General features: G+C 40.7%; 1 protein-coding gene across 4 annotated transcripts in view; it reads left to right on the top strand.

The window, feature by feature from the left end:
• Positions 1-21,495, top strand: part of PYGO1 (pygopus family PHD finger 1) — a 50,088-nt gene that overhangs the window by 19,211 nt on the left and 9,382 nt on the right. For all 4 annotated transcript variants that reach the window (NM_015617.3, NM_001330326.2, NM_001367806.1 and 1 more), the window contains exon 2: positions 20,766-20,851. In NM_015617.3, coding sequence (NP_056432.1) covers positions 20,766-20,851 — 86 coding nt within the window. The remainder of the gene's footprint in view (positions 1-20,765; positions 20,852-21,495) is intronic.

The raw sequence follows: 21,495 nt of genomic DNA, 5'->3' as shown, positions 1-21,495 counted from the left end.
ACATTCTTCTCATCTGCACATGAACATACTCTAAGATTGACCACATGCTTGGCTGTAAAGCAAGTCTCAATAAATTCAAAAAAATTGAAATCCTACCAACAGTACTTTTGGACCACGGTGGAATAAACATAGAAGTACCAAGAAGATCTCTCAAAATCACACAATTGCATGGAAGTTAAACAACTTGCTCTTGAATGACTTTTGGGTAATGAAATGACATCTGGGTAATGAAATCAAGGCAGAAATTTAAAAAATTCTTTGAAATAAATGAAAACAGAGGCACAACATACCAAAATATCTGGGATGCAGTGGCAACAGTATTAAAAGGAGCATATGTAGCACTGAACATCACCTCAAAAAGTTAGAAAGATCTCAAATTAATGATCTAACATCACACCTAGAAGAACTAGAAAAACAAGAACAAACTAATCTCAAGGCTAGCAGAAGAAATGAAATAACTAAATCAGAGCTGAATATAACAAATTGAGACACCAAAATCCATACAAAGTATCAATGAAACAAACAAACACCCTAGGATCAAATGAATTTATAGCTGAATTCTACTAGAAATTCAAAAAGAGAAGAGCTGGTACCAATTCTACTATTCTAAAAAATTGAGGAGGAACTCCTTCCTTACTCATTCTATAAAGTAGAATGAGTCCCATCATCCCAATACCAAAACCTGGCAAGGACACAATGAAAAAAAAAAGAAAGCTATAGGCCAGTATCCCTGATGAACATAGATGTAAACATACTTAACAAAATACTAGCAAACCAAATTCAATAGCACATCAAAAAGTTAATTCACCATGATTAAGTAGGTTTCAGTCCTGGGGTGCAAGGTTGGTTCAACATAAGCAAATCAATAAGTGTGATTCACCACATAAACAGAATTAAACATAAAAATCATATAATCATCTTAATAGACATGAAAAAAGCTTTTGATAAAATCTAACATCCTATCACGATAAAAACCCTCAGCAAACTAGGCATCGAACGAACATACTTCCAAATAATAAGAGCCCTCTATGACAAACCCAGAGCCAGCATCATACTGTATAGGCAGAAACTGGATGCAGTACCCTGAGAACTGGAACAAGACAAGCATACCCACTCTCATGACTCCTATTCAGTACAGTACTGGAAGTGTTAGAGCACTCAGGCAAGAGAAAGAAAAGGCATCCAAATAGGAAAAGAAGACAAACTATTTCTCTTTGCTGACAATATGATTCTATACTTACAACACCCTAAGGACTCCACCAAAAGGCTATTAGAATTTATAAACAATTTTAGCAAGGTTTCAAGATACAAAATCAACGTTCAAAAACTGGTACCATTTCAATATACCAGTAATATACAAGCTGAGAGCCACATCAAGAAAGCAATCCCATTTACAGACACACACACACACACACACACACACACACACACACACACACAGTACCTAGGAAATACGTCTTAACCATTGAGGTGAAACATCTCTACAAGGAGAACTAAAAAACACTGATAAAATAAATCATAGATGACACAAACAAATGGAAAAACATTCTATGCTCATGAATTGAAGGAATCAATCTCATTAAAATAGCCACACTGCTCAAAGCAGTCTACACATTGAACACTATTTCTATCAAACTACAATGGAATTTTTCACAGAATTGGAAAAAACTGTGTTAAAATTCATACGGAACCAAAAAAGAGCCCAAATAGCCAAATCAATCCTAAGCAAAAAGAACAAAGTTGGAGGCATCACATTACTTTACTTCAAATATAAGGCAGCAGTATCAAAAACAGCATGGTACTGGTACGAAAACAATTTAGACCAATAGAATGGAGAACCTAGAAATAAAGCCACATACTTGTAGCCATCTGATATTTGACAAAATTGAGAAAAACAAGCAATGGTGAAAGGCCCAGTAAATGGCGCTGGGATAGCTGGCTATCCATATGTAGAAGAATGAAAATGGACCCATACCTATCACCATGTACAAAAATTAAGATGGATTATAGATTTAAATCTAAGGCCTCAAACTATAAGAATCCAAGAATACCCAGGAAACACCATTCTGGACAACAGTCTTGCAAAAGAATATATGACTAAGTCTTGAAAGCAATTGCAACAAAAACAAAAATTGACAAGTAGGATCTAATTAAACTAGAGAGTTTCTGCATAGCAAAAGAAACAACAGAGTAAACAGACAACCTACAGAAGGGAGAATATATTCACAAACTGTGCATCTGACAAAGGTCTAATATCCAGAATTTATAAGGAATTTAAACCATTGAACAAGCCAAAAACAAACAACCCCATTAAAAATGGGCAAAAGGAGTTTGAGACCAGCTTGGGCAACAAAGGGAGACCCTGTCTCTACAAAAAATAAAGAAATTAGCCAGGTATGGTGGCACATGCTTGTGGTCCCAGACACGTGGGCAGCTGAGGTAGGAGAATCTCTTGAGCCCAGGAGTTTGAGGCTGCAGTTAGCTGTCTTCACACCACTGCACCCAGCCTGAGTGATAGAGCCAGACCCTGTCTCAAAAAAAAAAAAAAAAAAAAAAAAAAAAAGGTGGGCAAAAGACAGGAACAGATATTTCTCAAAAGAAGCCGTGCAAGTGGCCAAGAAACATGAAGCAATGTTTATCATCACTAATCAGAGAAATGCAAATCAAAACCACAATAAGATACCATCTCACATCAGTCAGAATGGCTATTTTTAAAAAGTCAAAAAATGGCTGGGCATGGGTGGCTCATGCCTGTAAGCCCAGCACTTTGGGAGGCTGAGGTAGGTGGATTGCTTGAGCCCAGGAGTTCGAGATCAGTCTGGACAGCATGGCAAAACCCCTTCTCTACTCAAAATACAAAATATTAGCTGGACATGGCAGCCCACACCTGTAGTCTCAGCTACCTGGTAGGCTGAAGTGGGAGGATCACCTTACCCCAGGAGGGCAAGGCTGTAGTCAGCTGTGATCACGCCACTGCACTCCAGCCTGGGCAATAGAGTGAGACCTTGTCTCAAAACCATCAAAACCAGGTGTTGATAAGGCCTGTGGAGAAAAGGGAATGCACATAGACTGTTGGTGAGAATATAAATTAGTCACTGTGGAAAGCAGTTTGGAGATTTCTCAAATAAATTAAAACAGAACTACTGTTCAACCCAGCTATCCCCTTACTGGATATATACCCCAAAGAAAACAAATTGTTCTACTAAAAAGACACATAATCACATGTACATGGCACCACTATTCACAATCACAACAACATGGAATCAACCTAGGTGCCCATCAGTGGTGGATTGGATAAAGACTATGTGGTACATACACACCATGGAATATAAACAACCATAAAAAAAAAAGAATGAAATCTTTTTTTTTTTTGTAGCAATATGAATGCAACTGGAGGCCGTTATCCTAAGCAAATTAACATAGGAAGAGAAAATCAAATACTGCATGTTCTCACTTGTAAGTGGGAGCTAAACATTGGTTACTCATGGACATAAAGATGGCAGCAATAGACCCTGGGGACTACTGAGGGGCAGTGCAATTAGGGGCAGGGTTTGAAAACCTATGCTCAGCACCTGGGTGACAGGATCATTTCACACCTCAAACCTCAGCATCATACAATATACCCAGGTAACATACCTGCCCATGTACTCCCCAAATCTAAAATAAAAGTTGAAAATAAAAGCCAGACACGGTGGCTCACGCCTGTAATCCCAGCACTTTGGGAGGCCGAGGCAGGCTGATGACAAGGTCAGGAGTTCGAGACCAACTTGGCCAACATGGTAGAACCGCTGTCTCTACTAAAAATACAAAAATTAGCTGAGTGTGGTGGCGTGTGCCTATAATCTCAGCTACTTGGTAGACTGAGGCAGGAGAATCTCTTGAACCAAGGAGTTGGAGGTTGCAGTGAACCAACATGTGCCACTGCACTCCAGCCTGGTGGCAGAGTGAGACTGTCTCAAGAAAAGAAAAGAAAAAATGGCAAAGGACATACATGGAAAAGGAAATAAATATGTTTCTTTTTGTTTTTGTTTTTGTTTTTTTTTGGGGGAGACGGAGTCTCACTCTGTCACCAGGCTGGGGCGCAGTGGTGCGATCTTGGCTCACTGCAAGCACCGCCTCCCGGGTTCAAGCGATTCTCATGCCTCACCCTCCTGAGTAGCTGGGACTACAGGTGCCCGCTACCAGCCTGGCTAATTTTTTTTTTTTAATTTTTATTTTTAGTAGAGATGGGGTTTCACCATGTTGGTCAGGCTGGTCTCGAACTCCTGACCTCAGGTAGTCTGCCCGCCTCTGCCTTCCAAAGTGCTAGGATTACAGGCATGAGCCACCGCGCTTGGCCAAAATACATATGATTTTTAAATATACATTATAGAGAAATGAAAGTTTATACATGGTGAGATAAATGAAAACAGATGAAAATATGACCATTTTGCATCCTCTGGTGAATCAGTGGGCCTAGGCTTTGATTATCAGTGGTGGTTTATGTAGGGGCAGAATTCTAAGATGACCACCAAGATGTCCCATCCTGCTAGTGTACCTCCCTGTGTAATGCTCAGTACTGTGAATTTCATGAATGTTAATCCCTCGATTGGGCTGTATCATATGGCACAGTTCACCTGGAGATAGGGAGATTAACTGGGCGGACCTGAACTAATTACATGAACCTTCTAAGAGCAAAGGCTTCTTTATGGCTAGTTCAAGAAGAAGAAATCAGAGACTTGAAGCACAAGGAGTTGATACACATTGAAAGCAGAAAGAGTCATGAATCAAGGAATGTGGGTGGTCTCTAGGAGATAAGAGCTGACAGCCAGCAAGGAAAGTAGGATGTTAATCCTACAACCACAGGGAATTGAATTTGGCTACAGACAAGAATGATGAGATTGGAGGCAGATTTCCCTCAGAGCCTCAAGACAAGAACTCACCCTACTGATACCTTGATATCCTGAGCAGAGAACGCAGCCCAATTTCTGATTTTTGAACTACAGACTGAGAGATTATCAATGGTTTTAAAATTTATTTTTAATTCAGATAAAATTCACATGATGTAAAATTCACCATTTAAACTATCTTAGAGTATACATTTCAGTGGTTTTTAGTACTGTGCTAAAAAGTCACTACTTTCTTTGTTTCTCTCTTTTGTGACACCTGTGCCTTGCATGGCCCTGGGACAGGCATGGCCACCAGAACCCCTGGGCTGCAGATCTGCTCCACCTCTCTGTTCTGGCCACTAGGAGCAGAGGAGCTCTGAGCAGGCAAAGCTTTAGAGGACTTTACCCTCTACTTTCTAATTCTATATTACTTTCCATTGCCTCAAAAAGATACCATGTAACTCCCAATTTCCTCCCTTTCCTAGTGGTCTGTCAACTACTAATCTGTTTTTTGTCTCTAAAGATTTTCCCATTCTGGACACTTCCTATAAATGGAATCATGCAACATGTGGCTTTTTGTGTCTGGCTTCTTTTACTTACAACATTTTCAAGGTTCATCCATGTTGTAGCATGTATCAGTACTTCATTCCTTTTTATGGCTGAGTAATGTTTCATTGTATAGATATACCATTTTGTATATCCATTCACTCGTTGATGGACATTTGGGTTGTTTCTACTTTTTTGGCTATTACAAATAATACTGCTAAAAACGTTGTACAAGTTTTTGTGCAAAGAAATTTTCAGTTGTCTTGTCTTGGATAAATACCTAGGAGAGGAATTGCTGGATCATATGATAACTTTATGTTTTACTTTTTGAGGAACTGCCAAACTGTTTTCCACGTGTTTTCCACGGTGGCTGTACCATTTTACATTCCCACCTGCAAAGTATGAGGGTTCCAGTTTCTCCATATCTTTGCCAATGCTTGTTATTATTTGTCTTTTTGATTACAGCCATCCCAGTGTTATCTCATTGCGGTTTTAATTTGCATTTTTTATAACGACTACTGGTGCTGAGCATCTTTTCATGTGTTTCTTGGCCATTTGTGTATTTTATTTGGAGAAATGTCTGTTCAAAACCTTTGGCTGGGTGAGGGATAAAAGACTACACGTCGGGTACAGTGTACACTGCTCGGGTGATAGATGCACCAAAATCTCAGAAATCTCCACTAAAGAATTTATTTGTGGCTGGACGTGGTGGCTCACGCCTGTAATCCCAACACTTTGGGAGGCCGAGGCAGGCGGATCACGAGGTCAGGAGCTCGAGACCAGCCTGACCCATGTGGTAAAACCCCATCTCTACTAAAAATATAAAAATTAGCTGGGCATGGTGGCGCACTATTCACGAGGCTAAGGCAGGAGAATCACGTGAACCCAGGATGCAGAGGTTGAAGTGAGCCAAGATTGTGCCACTGCACTCCAGCCTGGGCGACAGAGCAAGACTTCGTCTCAAAAAAAAAAAAAAAAAAGAATTTATTCATGTAACCAACCACCACCTCCTCCCTAAAAACATATTGAAATAAAAGATACATTTGGAGGGGGGAAAAAGACAAACCTTTGGCCGTTTTTCAGTTAGGTTGTTTTCTTTGAGTTGTAAGAATTATTCATATATTCTGGATACTAGACTCTCATCAGAGTCTTATTATTTGCAAATATTTTCCCCCATTGTGTGGGTTGTCTTTTCACTTTAGTGATAGTGTTCTTTGATGAAAAACTTTCATCAAAAGTTTTTAATTTTGATGAAGTGCAATTTATGTTTTTTTTCTTTTGTTTCTTGTGCTTTGGCATTATAATTAAGAAACTTGGCTAATCAAGGTCACGATGCTCTCCCTCCCGCTCCCCCCGACAGGCCCCAGTGTGTGTTGTTCCCCGCAATGTGTCCATGTGTTCTCATTGTTCAGCTCCCACTTGTAAGTGAGAACATGTGGTGTTTTGTTTTTGGTTTTCTTTTCTTGCATTAGTTTGCTGAGGGTAACAGCTTCTAGCTCCATCCATGTCTCTGCCAAGGACTTGTTCTCATTCCTTTTTTTGGCTGTATAGTATTCCATGGTGTATATGTACCACATTTTCTTTATCATTGATGAGCATTTGGATTGATTCCATGTCTTTGTTGTTGTGAATAGTGCTGCACTGAACATATGTGTGGATTTTTCTTTTTTTTTTTTGAGTTGGAGTCTTGCTCTGTCACCCAGGCTGGAGTGTAATGGCGTGATCTCAGCTTACTGTAACCTCTGCCTCCCAGGTTCAAGTGATTCTTCCGCCTCAGCCTCCCGAGTAGCTGGGATTACAGGCACCCGCCAAAATGCCCAGTTAATTTTTGTATTTTTGTAAAGACAGGGTTTCACCATGTTGGCCAGGTTGGTCTTGAACTCCTGACATCAGGTGATCTGCCCACCTCAGCCTCCCAAAGTGCTGGGATTACAGGCATGAGCCACCACGCTCAGCCAGTGTGCATGTATTTTTATAGCAGAATGATTTATATACCTTTGGGTCTATATCCAGGAAAGGGATTGCTGGGTCCAATGGTATTTCTGCCTCTAGATCTTTGAGGAATCACCACACTTTCTTCCACAGTGGTTGAACTAATTTATTCTCCCACCAACAGTGTAAAAGTGTTCCTTTTTCTCCGCAACCTTGCCAGCATCTGTTGTTTCTTGACTTTTATCATCGCCATTCTGACTGATGTGAGATGGTATCTCGTTGTGGTTTTGATTTGCATTTCTCTAATGATCAGTGATGTTGAGCTTTTTTTCATGTTTGTTGGCTGCATAAATGTCTTTTTTTGAGAAGTGTCTGTTCATGTCCTTTGCCCACTTTTTAATGGGGTTGGTTGGTTGTTTCTTGTAAATTTAAGTTCCTTGTAGACTCTGGATATTAGACCTTTGTCAGAAGGCAAACATTTTCTCTTATTCTGTAGGTTGTCTGTTCACTCTGATGATAGTTTCTTTTGCTGTGCAGAAGCTCTTTAGTTTAGATCCCATTTGTCAATTTTTGCATTTGTTGCAATTGCTTTTGGAGTTTTCACCGTGAAATCTTTCCCCATGCCTAAATCCTGAATGGTATTGCCTAGATATTCTTTTAGTGTTTTTATCATTTTAGGTTTTACATTTAAGTCTTAATCCATCCTGAGTTAATTTTTGTGCAAGGTGTAAGGAAGGTGATATGGTTTAGCTTTGTGTCCCTGTGCAAATCTCATCTTGAATTGTAAACCCCAGGTATTAAGGGAGGAATCTGGTGGGAAGCGATTGGCTTATGGGGGTGGTTTCCCCCATGCTATTCTTGTGATACGAGTGAGTTCTCAGGAGATTTGATGGTTTTATAAGTGTTTGGCAAGTTCCTCCTTTGCTCACTCTTCTTTCTCCTGCCACTTTGTGAAGAAGGTGCCTGCTTCCCCTTCTGCCATAATTGTAAGTTTCCTGAGGCCTCCCGGGCCATGTGGAAATGTGAGTCAATTAAACCTGTTTCCTTTATAAATTACCATCTCAGGGAAATTCTTTATAGCAATGTGAGAAGGGACTAATACAGAAGGGGTCCAGTTTCAGTTTTCTGCATATGGCTAGCCAGTTCTACCATCACCATTTATTAAATAGAGAATCTATTCCCCATTGCAGATTTTTGTCAGATTTATCAAAGATCAGATGGTTGTAGGTGTGTGGTCTTATTTCTGAGTTCTCTCTTCTGTTTCGTTGTTCTGTATGTCTGTTTTTGTATAAGTACCATGCTGTTTTGGTTACTGTAGCCTTGTAGTATAGTTTGAAGCTAGGTAGTGTGATGCCTCCACCTTTGTTCTTTTTGCTTGGGATTGTCTTGGCTATTTGGGCTCTTTTCTGGTTCCATATGAACTTTAAAGTAGTGGGGTTTGTTTGTTTGTTTGTTTGTTTTTGAGATAGAGTCTTGCTCTGTCGCCCAGGCTGGAGTGCAGTGGCATGATCTCGGCTCACTGCAACACAGGTTCAAGCAATTCTGCTGCCTCAGCCTCCCGAGTAGCTGAGACTGCAGGTGTGTACCACCATGCCTGGCTAATTTTTGTATTTTTTAGTAGAGACAGGGTTTCACCATGTTGGCCAGGCTGATCTCAAACTCCTGACCTTGTGATCTGCCCACCTCAGCCTCCCAAAGTGCTGGGATTATAGGTGTGGGCCACTGTGCCCAGCTAGTAGTGTTTTCTAATTCTGTGAAGAATGTCAATGGTAGTTTGATGAGAATAGCATCAAGTCTATAAATTACTTTGGGCAGTATGGCCATTTTCACAATACTGATTCTTCCTATCCATGAGGATGGAATGTTTTTCCATTTGTTTGTGTCCTCTCTTATTTCCTTGAGCAGTAGTTTGTAGTTCTCCTTGAAGAGGTCCTTTACGTCTCTTGTTAGCTGTATTCCTAGGTAGTATATTCTCTCTAGCAATTGTGAATGGGAGTTCATTCATGATTTTGTTCTCTGCTTGGTTGTTGTTGGTGTATAGTAATGCTTGCAATTTTTTTACACTGATTTTATATCCTGAGATTTTGCTGAAGTTGCTTATCAGCTTAAGAAGCTTTTGAGCTGAGACGATGGGGTTTTCTAGATATATCATGTCATCTACAAACAAAGATAATTTGACTTATTATCATCCTATTTGAATACACTTTATTTCTTTCTCTTGCCTGATTGCCCTGACCAGAACTTTGAGTACTATATTTAATAGGAGTGGTGAGAGAGAGCATCCTTGTCTTTTGCCAGTTTTCAAGGGGAATGCTTCCAGCTTTTGCCCATTCAGTATGATAATCAGCTGTGGGTTTGTCATATATATGGTTATTATTATTTTTAAGTATGTTTGTTCAATACCTAGTTTATTGAGTTTTCAACGCGAAGGGTGTTAAATTTTATTGAAGGCCTGTTCTGCATCTACTGAGATAATCATGTGTTTTTTGTCTTAGTTCTGTTTATGAATTATATTTATTGATTTTCATCTGTTGAATCAAGCTTGCATTCTCAGAGATTAAGCCAAATTGATCATGGTGCGTAAACTTTTTGATGTGCTGCTGGATTTGGTTTGCCAGTATTTTATTGAGGGTTTTTACATCAATGTTCATCAGGAATATTAGCCTGAAGTTTTCTCTTTTTGTTTTATCTCTGCCAGGTTTTGTTATCAGGATGATGCTAGCCTCATAAAATGAGTTAGGGAGGAGTCCCTCCTTTTCATTTCTGGCTGCATAGTATTCCATTGTGTATATGTGCCACATTTTCTTAATCCAGTCTATCATTGATGGACATTTGGGTTGGTTCCAAGTCTTTGCTATTGTGAATAGTGCTGCAGTAAACATACGTGTGCATGTGTCTTTATAGCAGCATGATTTATAATCCTTTGGGTATATACCCAGTAATGGGATGGCTGGGTCAAATGGTATTTCTAGGTCTAGATCCTTGAGGAATCGCCGCACTGTCTTCCACAATGGTTGAACTAGTTTACAGTCCCACCAACAGTGTAAAAGTATTCCTATTTCTCCACATCCTCTCCAGCACCTGTTGTTTCCTGACTTTTTAATGATCGCCATTCTAACTGGTGTGAGATGGTATCTCATTGTGGTTTTGATTTGCATTTCTCTGATGGCCAGTGATGATGAGCATTTTTTCATGTATCTGTTGGCTGCATAGTGTCTTCTTTTGAGAAGTGTCTGTTCATATCCTTCACCCGCGTTTCGATGGGGTTGTTTTTTTCTTGTAAGTTTGTTTGAGTTCTTTGTAGATTCTGGATATTAGCCCTTTGTCAGATGAGTAGATTGCAAAAATTTTCTCCCATTCTGTAGGTTGCCTGTTCACTCTGATGGGAGTTTCTTTTGCTGTGCAGAAGCTCTTCAGTTTAATTAGATCCCATTTGTCAATTTTGGCTTTTGTTGCCATTGCTTTTGGTGTTTTAGACATGAAGTCCTTGCCCATGCCTATGTCCTGAATGGTATTGCCTAGGTTTTCTTCTAGGGATTTTATGGTTTTAGGTCTAATATTTAAGTCTTTAATCCATCTTGAGTTAATTTTTGTATAAGGTGTAAGGAAGGGATCCAGTTTCAGCTTTCTACATATGGCTGGCCAGTTTTCCCAGCACCATTTATTAAATAGGGAATCCTTTCCCCATTTCTTGTTTTTGTCAGGTTTGTCAAAGATCAGATGGTTGTACATGCGTTGGCTCTGTTCTGTTCCATTGGTCTATATCTCTGTTTTGGTACCAGTACCATGCTGTTTTGCTTACTGTAGCCTTGTAGTGTAGTTTGAAGCCAGGTAGCATGATTCCTCCAGCTTTGTTCTTTTGGCTTAAGATTGTCTTGGCAATGTGGGCTCTTTTTTGGTTCCATATGAACTTTAAAGTATTTTTTTTCCAATTCTGTGAAGAAAGTCATTGGTAGCTTGATGGGGATAGCATTGAATCTATAAATTACCTTGGGCAGTATGGCCATTTTCACGATATTGATTCTTCCTATCCATGAGCATGGAATGTTCTTCCATTTGTTTGTATCCTCTTTTATTTTGTTGAGCAGTGGTTTGTAGTTCTTGAAGAGGTCCTTCACATCCCTTGTAAGTTGGATTCCTAGGTATTTTATTCTCTTTGAAGCAATTTTGAGTGAGAGTTCACTCATGATTTGGCTCTCTGTTTGTCTGTTATTGGTGTATAAGAATGCTTGTGATTTTTGCACATTGATTTTGTATCCTGAGACTTTGCTGAAGTTGCTTATCTGTTTAAGGAGATTTTGGGCTGAGGCTAATGGGGTGTTCTAACTATACAATCATGTCATCTGCAAACAGGGACAATTTGACTTCCTCTTTTCCTAATTGAATACCCTTTATTTCTTTCTACTGCCTGATTGCCCTGGCCAGAACTTCCAACACTATGCTGTGTTGAATAGGAGTGGTAAGAGAGGGCATCCCTGTCTTGTGCCAGTTTTCAAAGGGAATGCTTCCAGTATTTGCCCATTCAGTATGATATTGGCTGTGGGTATGTCATAAATAGCTCCTATTATTTTGAGAGACGTCCCATCAATACCTAATTTATTGAGAGTTTTTAGCATGAAGGGCTGTTGAATTTTGTGAAGGTCTTTGCGGCATCTATTGAGATAATCATGTGGTTTTTGTCTTTGGTTCTGTTTATATGCTGGATTACATTTATTGATTTGCATATGTTGAACCAGCTTTGCATCCCAAGGATGAAGCCCACTTGATCATGGTGGATAAGCTTTTTGATGTGCTGCTGGATTCGGTTTGCCAGTATTTTATTGAGGATTTCTGCATCAGTGTTCATCAGGGAGATTGGTCTAAAATTCTCTTTTTTTGTTGTGTCTCTGCCAGGCTTTGGTATCAAGATGATGCTGGCCCGGTAAAATGAGTTGGGGAGGATTCCCTCTTTTTCTATTGATTGGAATAGTTTCAGAAGGAATAGTACCAGCTCCTCCTTGTACCTCTGGTAGAATTCAGCTGTGAATCCGTCTGGTCCTGGACTTTTTTTGGTTGGTAGGCTATTAATTATTGCCTCAATTTCAGAGCCTGTTATTGGTCTATTCAGGGATTCAACTTCTTCCTGGTTTAGTCTTGGGAGGGTGTATGTGTCGAGGAATTTATGCATTTCTTCTAGATTTTCTAGTTTATTTGCGTAGACGTGTTTATAGTATTCTCTCATGGTAGTTTGTATTTCTGTGGGATCGGTGGTGATATCCCCTTTATCATTTTTTATTGCGCCTATTTGATTTTTCTCTCTTTTCTTCTTTATTAGTCGTCCTCCTTTTCATTTCTTTGGAACAGTTTCAGTTGTACCTCTGGTAGAATTTGGCTGTAAATCTGTCTGGTCCTGGGCTTCTTTGGGTTGGTAGGCTATTTATTACTGCCTCAATTTCAGAACTTGTTACTATTCTTTAATTCAGTTTCTTCCTGGTTCAGTCTTGGGAGGATGTATGTGCCTAGGAATTTATTTGTTCCAGTTTTTTTTTTAGTATATGTGCATAGAGGTGCTTATAATATTCTCTGGTGATTGTATTTCTGTATTGTATTTCTGTGGGGTCAGTGGTGATATCCCCCTTTCATTTCTGATTGTGTCTATTTGATTCTTTTTTCTTTATTAGTCTAGCTAGCAGTCTCTTTTATTAATTTTTTCGAAATACCAACCTGGCTTTATTGATTTTTTTTTTTGAAGGGTTTTTTGTGTCTCTGTCTCCTTCAGTTCTGCTCTGATTTTGCTTATTTCTTTTCTTCTGCTACCTTTGGAGTTTGTTTGCCCTTGGTTCTCCAGTTCTTTTAGTTGTGATGTTAGCTTGGTAATTTGAGATCTTTCGAGCTTTTTGATGTGGGCATTTAGTGCTATAAATGTCCCTCTTAACACTGCATTAGCTGCATCCCAGAGATTCTGGTACATTGTCTCTTTGTTCTCATTAGTTTCGAAGAACTTGATTTCTGTGTTAATTTCAGTATTTACCCGGGAGTCATTCAGGAGCAGGTTGTTCAGTTTTCATGTAGTTGTATGGTTTTCAGTGAATTTCTTAGTTTTGAGTTCTCATTTGATTGCGCTGTGGTGTGAGAGACTGTTATGATTTCTGTTCTTTTGCATTTGCTAAGGAGTGTTTTACTTCCGATTGTGATCAATTTTAGAGTAAGTGCCATGTGTCGATGAAAAGAATGTAAATTCTGTTGTTTTTGGGTGGAAAATTCTGTATATATCTATCAGGTCCTCTTGACCCAGAGCTGAGTGCAGGTCCTGAATATCTTTGTTAATTTTGTGTCTCGATAATCTGTCTGATATTGTCAGTGGGGTGTTAAAGTCTCCCAGTATTATTTTGTGGGAGTCTGAGTCTCTTTGTAGGTCTCTAAAAACTTGCTGTATGAATCTGGGTGCTCCTGTGTTGGGTGCAAATATATTTAGGATAGTTAGCTATTCTTGTTGAATTGAACTTTTTACCGTTACGTAATGCCCTTTTTTGATCTCTGTTTTGTCACAAACTAGTATTGCAACCCCTGCTTTTTTCTGTTTTTCATTTTCTTGATAAATTTTCCTCCCTCCTTTTATTTTGAGCCTATGTGTGTCTTTGCCTGTGAGGTGTGTCTTTCGGAGACAGCATAACGATGAGACTTAACTCTTTATCCAGCTTGCCATTCTGTGCCTTTTAATTGGGCCATTTACTCCATTTACATTTTTTAAAAAATTTTATTATTATACTTTAAGTTTTAGGGTACATGTGCACAACGTGCAGGTTTGTTACATATGTATACATGTGCCATGTTGGTATGCTGCACCCATTAACTCGTCATTTAGCATTAGGTATATCTCCTAATGCTATCCCTCCCCCCTCCCCCCACCCCACTCCATTTACATTTAAGGTTAATATTGTTATATGTGAATTTGATCCTGTCATCATGATGTTAGCTGGTTAATTTGCAGGCTTGTTTATGTGGTTGCTTCATTGGTCATGTACCTCAGTGCTTTTGTACTGGCTGGCAACAGTTTTTCCTTTCCATATTTAGTGCTTCCTTCAGGAGCTCTTGCAAGGCAGGCTCAGTGGTGACGAATTCCCTCAGGGTTTGCTTATCTGAAAACGATCTTATTCCTCCTTTGCTTATAAAGCTTAGTTTGGTCGGATATGAAATTCTTGGTTGGAAATTTTTTCTTTAAGAATGTTGAACATTGGTCCTCAATCCCTTGTGGCATGTAGGGTTTCTGCTGAGAGGTCTACTGTTAGTCTGATTGGTTTCCCTTTGTAGGCGACCTGGCCTTTCTCTCTGGCAGCCCATAACATTTTTTTTTTCATCTTGACCTCAGAGAATCTGATGATTATGTATCTTGGGGTTGATCTCTTGTGCATTATTTTACTGGGGTTCTCTGGATTTCCTGAATTTTGAATGTTGGCCTGTCTTGCTAGGTTGGGGATGTTCTCCTGGATGATATCCTGAAGTATGTTTTCCGACTTGGTTCCATTCTCCCCCTTTTTCAGGGAAACCAATGAGTTGTAGATTTATTCTCTACATAATTCCATATTCCTTGGAGGTTTAGTTCTTTCCTTTTTCTCTATTCTTGTCTGCCTTTCTTATTTCAGAATGATTATCTTCAAGCTCTGAGATTCTTTCCTTTGCTTGGTCTGTTCTGCTGTTGACACTTGTAATTACATCATGAGGTTCTCATGTTGTGTTTTTCAGCTCCATCATGTCACCTATATTCCTCTTTAAACTGGCTCTTCTGGTTATCAGCACCTGTATTGTTTTATCATGATTCTTAGCTTCTTTGCATTGGGTTACAGCATGCTCCTTTAACTCAGTGAAATTGATTATTACTGACCTTCTGGCGCCTACCTCTGTCAGTTCAGCCAATCTCAGCCTCAGCCCAGTTCTTTCTTTCTTTTTTTTTTTTTTTTTTTTTTTTTGAGACAGAGTCTTGCTCTGTCACCCAGACTGGAGTGCAGTGGTTCAATATCAGCTCACTGCAAGCTCCACCTCCCATGTTCACGCCATTCTCCCACCTCAGCCTCCCAAGTAGCTGGGACTGCAGGTGCCCACCACCACACCCTGATAATTTTTTTAAATATATTTTTAGTAGAGATGGGGTTTCACCATGTTAGCCAGGATGGTCTCGATCTCCTGACCTCATGATCCACCCACCTTGGCCTCCCAAAGTGCTGGGATTACAGGCATGAGCCACTGTGCCCATCTGCCTCAGCCCAGTTCAGTGCCCTTGCTGGAGAAGTGCTGTGATCATTAGGAGGAGAAGAGGCACTCTGTTTTTTTGAGTTTTAAGCGTTTTTGTGTTGATTCTTTCTCATCTTTTTGGGCTTATCTACCTTTGCTCTTTGAGGTTGCTGACCTTTGGATGGGGTTTTTGTGGGGTCTTTTTTGTTGATATTGTTGTTGACATTGCTTCTGTTTGTTTGTTTTTCTTTTAACATTCAGGCCATACTTCTGTAGGGCTGCTGCAGTTTGCTGGGGGTCTGCTCCTGACCCTAGTTGCCTCAGTTTTTCCTGTACCTGGAGATACTACCAGTGAAGGCTGCGTAACAGCAAAGGTGGCAGCCTGCTCCTTCCTCTGGGAGCTCCTTCCCAGGGCAGTCCTGACCTATTGCTGGCTTGAGTGCTTCTATAGGAGGTATCTGGAGACCCCGGTTCAGAGGTTTCACCACTGTCTAGAGGCTGGGCGCGTTGGCTCACACCTGTAATCCCAGCACTTTGGGAGGCTGAGGTGGGTAGATCACTTGAGGTCAGGAGTTTGAGACCAGCCTGGCCAACATGGCGAAACCCCATCTGTACTAAAAATACAAAAAAAGTTAGTGGTGGTGGCAAGTGGTGGTGGTGGCAAGTGCCTGTAATTCCAGCCAATCAAGAGGCTGAGGCAGGAGGATCGCTTGAGCCCAGGAGGCAGAGGTTGCAGTGAGCCAAGGCTACGCCACTGCACTCCAGCCTGGCAACAGAGCGAAACTCCTTCTTAAAAAAAAAAAAAAAGGAAGCAGTCTGGCTGCTTTTTGATAGAGCAGTTGTACTGCACTGGGGGGAATCCTTCTTTGTCCAGACTGCCTAGATTCTTCAGAGCCAGCAGGCAGGAAAGACTGTCTACTGAACTGCAGAGACAGCAGCTGCCCCTTTCCCCAGGGGCTCCATCATGGGGAGAGTTCAGAGTTCTGCTTGTATAACCCTGCTTGGAAATTCCCACAGGGAGGCCTTGCTCTGTGAGAAGTGATGGATCAGGGTCCCACTTAAGGAAGTAGTCTGGCCATGATCTGGCACAGCAGCTGTGCTGCATTGTAGAGCACTCCCCTTCGTCCAGACTGCCTGGACTCCCCAGTGCCAGCAGGCTAGAACAGCTGAGTCAACTGCAGAGATGGCGGCCACCCCTCCCCCAGGAACTTGCTCTGTCTCAGCCAGTCTCCAGTCTGTTGATGCTGGTGGCTGGAATTCCAAGTCAGTGGATCTTAACTTGGGAGGTGCCATGGAAGTGGGGCCCGCAGAACAATGCTGCTTGGCTCCCTGAATTCAGCACCCTTCCTAGGGAATGTATGGGTGGATCTTTTGCCTTGCAGGATTCTTTTTCATCTTTGCAGGGACTTCTGGGGCCGGAGTATGTAAAACTCCTGGGTCTCTGTGTGTGCCTGAGTGGCTGCTCTACTGAGACTCTGCATACACAGCTCTGTATATCGGACCCAAGGCCCTGGTGGCATGGGCTCACGAGGAGATCCCCTGATCTGTGGGTTGCAAAGATCTGTGGGAGAAGTGTGGTTTCCTGGATGGGGTCACACAATCACTCACTGCTTCCCTTGGCTGGAGGTGGGGCTTTTTTTTTGGCTCCATGCTGCTCCTGGGCGGGCGATTGCCCTACCCCATTTTTCTTCATTCTCTGTGGGTCAAGTTGTTCACTTGGTCAGTCCCATTGTGAGAACCTGGATATTTCAGTTGAAGGTGCTTAATTCACACACCATTTTCATTCTTCTCCCTGAGAGCCATGGACCACAGCTCCCCCTACCTTTTTTTTTTTTTTTTTTTTTTGGAGACAGAGTCTCGCTCTTTTGCCCAGGCTGGAGTGCAGTGCAGTGGTGCGATCTCAACTCAGTGGAACCTCTGCGTCCCAGACTCAAGCAATTCTCCCTGCCTTAGCCTCCCAAGTAGCTGGGATTACAGGTGCCTGCCATTATACCTGGCTAATTTTTGTATTTTTAGTAGAGACGGGGTTTCGCCATGTTTGCCAGGCTGGTCTCGAACTCCTGACCTCAAGTGATCTGCCTGCCTCGGCCTCCCAAAGTGTTGGGATTACCGGTGTGAGCCACTGTGCCTGGCCCACAGCTGCTTCTAATCAGCCACCTTGACCCCTCCTTGGTATTAGATTTTTGTCAAATGCTTTTATGCATCTATTGAAATGATCATGTATATTTCTCTTTATTCTATTAATATGGCATATTAAATTGATTTATTTTAATATGCTGAATCAACCTTCTATTGCTGGGAAAAATCCCGCTTTGTCATGATGTATTATCCTTTGAATATTCTGCTGCATTTGTTTTGCTAGTATTTTGTTGAGAATTTTTGCATCTGTGTTCTTTTTTTTAGTTGGGGTCTTGCTCTGTTGCCCAGGCTAGAGTGCAGTGGCATCTTCACAGCTCACTGCAGCCTCCAACCCCTGAGATCAAGAGATCCTCCCACCTCAGCCTCCTGAGTAGCTGGGACCACAGGCATGTGCCACCATACCTGGCTAATTTTTTTTTTAATTTTAATTTTAATGTAGAGGTGGGATCTCACTGTGTTTTCCAGGCTGGTCTCAGACTCTTGGGCTGGAGCAATCCCCCGCCTCAGCCTCTTAAAGTGTTGAGATTATCGACATGAGCCACCACACTCGGCCACATCTGTATTCTTAGGAGGTGTTAGTCTGTGGTTTTTTGGTTTTTTCCCCTTGTGATATCATTGTCTGGCTTTGGTATCAAGGTAATATTGGCCCAATAGAATGAGTTAGGAAGTGTTCCCTCTGCTTCTATTTAAGTGGACATTGTTTTAAGTGGCAAAGCAAGTATGTGGTAATTTGTTATACAGCAATAGAAAATTAATACAACTGTTAAAGAAAATCAACCAGAAATTAGGTTCCTTCTAGTGGAAGAACAGACCATCACTTATGGAGCAGCCTTGCAAAAAAACAGAAATCTGAATCTGATCAAGCCTATAGTCTTGACCAGGGATCCCCAACCCCTGGGCCACGGACTGGTACTAGTCCATGCCCTGTTAGGAACCAGGCCACACAGCAGGAGGTGACTGGCGGGTGAGCGAGCATTACTGCCTGAGCTCCGCCTCCTGACAGATCAGCAGCAGCAGCATTAGATTCTCATAGGAGGGTGAACCCTATTGTGAACTGTGCATGCGAGGGATCTAGGTTGTGCATTTCTTATGGGAATCTAATGCTTGATGATCTGAGGTGGAACAGTTTCATTCCACAACCATCGCCACCTCCCATCCCCCACCACTGGTCCCTGGTGTCAAAAAGGTTGGGGATCACTGGTCTAGACCCAATATCAATTTATAGGAAATAAGGAACATGTTAAACATGTCAATCAGCAAATATAATCAGCAAAATCAAGATATATCAAACATTCCAGACTAGAAAATATAAATCACACCTGCAATTTAATGTAATATAATTTGTAATATAATTTTATGTAAGGAATTAAACAGGTGTTGAAAAACCAAAAAAGCAAAAAGTGAGGTAGCATGGACAGTGACTGCAGGAAGGAACTTCCACATCTGGGACTTAGTGAACAAAGAAAAGAAGTTGGGGTTATGAGAACCTAGAGGATTGGAAGAGAGATGCCATAGAGCTTGGACTCAGACTTGGAGATTGAGGTGCTGCCCAGCTGGTATTAATAACCTCTGAGAAAACATGTTGAAGCTGGTTTGGGGAGTGTGATGGACTACCAGTGCCAGAGAGAAGGCCTGTTGGGATGATAGAGATAAGAAGAGTAAGCAGACAGGAGGGGCAGAAATTTCCTATCACTTCCCCTGGCCTTCAAGTATCCCTCTAGAGCTCCCGTTGGAAGACCCTAGCAAAAGAAAAATGTAGTTTGCAAAGTCCCAGTTCCAGTGTCACTAAGAGGGGTTGGAGCTAAAAGATGGTAGCTTAATAATTGGAACAATAATCAGCCTGGTTCAGTTAATACTTTGCAAGGAAAAAACAGGATGGAGGGAAGTATATCAATTAAAAGACATGTCAAACCAGTTGTAATCTATGGAACATATTTGGATCCCAATCTAAACAAACCATACAGATATTATGAGATAATTGGATTGGGTATGAAATTATATGAAGGATTATTGTTAATTTCTGTAGTGGCTAGAATGGCATTGTATTTTTTTTAAGTTCCTAGTTTTTAGAAATACATTCTGAAATATTTACCAATAAAATGATGTCTGAAATTTTCTTCAAAGTAGTACTGGATGGAGAGAGGTGAAGATGGTGTTGAAAACACAAGATGAGATGTGATGGTTATTAGGGCTGGGTGATAGGCATATGGGGTTAATTTCATTCTTCTCTGTATGTTGTATATGTTCAGAATTCTCCATAATAAAATGTTTCTTAAAGCTGGAAAAATTCCTTTCATAAACTCTTTTTAACCTCTTAGATTGATAGTCAAGCTTTTGCTTTCCTTGATCATGTACTGTTGAGAAAGCAATATTTGGAAACATTGTTGCATTTTTAACATTATCTTTAAGAATTAAAAGGCACATACCTTTGATGCCATAATTCTGGTTCTAGGAGCTACTTGTAAATCTCTCTAAAGGCATTTATACATGGATTTTTATTGCAGCAACAGCAGAGGCTTGGAAACAACTTAAACATTGATCAATATGGAGGGGACTAGTTTAATGAATCATGGTGTAGTCACACTGTAGAATACTACTCAGCTATTACAAAATAAAGAAGTTCTAAATAGAGTGATATGGAATGATCTCCAAGTAAGAAAGCAAGGTACACTGTGTGTACTGTGTGTACTTTGTCTCATTTGTGTCCTCCCCGCCAAAAAAATAATAATAATATACTTTAATATATCTAGATTATCTTTGGAAAGGTAGGCCAGAAACTAGTAATAGTGGTGGCCTCTGAGACAGGGAACCAGTTACTAAAGATTTTAGAGTGAGAGAGAGAGACTTGCTTTTTCACTGAAAGAATAATAAATATGGGAGCAGGGATGAATGGCTATTTCTGGCTCAAACTATGGGAAAGACTTTTTTGAAACAGATAATGATAATAAAAGTATTGCTCTTGTCTAACGAAAATAGAAAACATTAACAGGTAAATATAATAGATATTACTATGAGATATAAAGTAACTTCACTTACAAGTGGGAAATATTACCTGAATTTTTTTTTTTTTAGGTGGTGATAGTGGACTGGATGGGTTAGGAGGACCAGGTGTACAACTAGGAAGCCCAGATAAGAAAAAGCGCAAGGCAAATACACAGGTAAACTGACATTTTCTTTAATAAAAGTTTTTCTTTGCTAGTATGGTCAGGCTGATGAGGTAAATTTGAACTTGGTCATAAGTTTTGTTTTCTATTCAAGTGATTGTACTTTTAATCATTCATTGTACTTTCAATCAATCATTCCAGTGATGGTACTTTCTTTTTTTTTTTTTTTTTTTTTTTTTTTTTTTTTTTTTTTTTTAGGTGGATTCTTGCTCTGTTGCCAGACTGGAGTGAGTGCAGTGGGGTGATCTCAGCTCACTGCAACCTCCACCTCCCAGGTTGAAGCGATTCTCCTGCCTCAGCCTCCCAAGTAGCTGGAATTACAGGCACGCGCCACCATGCCCAGCTAATTTTTGTATTTTTAGTAGAGACGGGCTTTCACCATGTTGATCAGGATGGTCTCAATCTCTTGACCTCGTGATCCACCCGCCTCGGCCTCCCAAAGTGCTAGGATTACAGGTGTGAGCCACCACGCCTCGCTGTATTTTTTTTTGTTTAAGTCTGTAACTAGTGGCTATTGTCAGACTATAGGCATAGACTAGATACTGCAAAAAGGAAGTGTGGGCAAATTAAAATGCTTGTTCTTAGGCTGGGCATGGTGGCTCATGCCTATAATCCCAGCCCTTTGGGAGGCCAAGGTG

Source organism: Homo sapiens, chromosome 15 (genome assembly GCF_000001405.40).
Source record: "Homo sapiens chromosome 15, GRCh38.p14 Primary Assembly".
Taxonomy (NCBI): domain Eukaryota; kingdom Metazoa; phylum Chordata; class Mammalia; order Primates; family Hominidae; genus Homo; species Homo sapiens.
The sequence above is the reverse complement of the archived record's forward strand: the minus strand, read 5'-3'. Positions and strand labels throughout refer to the sequence as shown.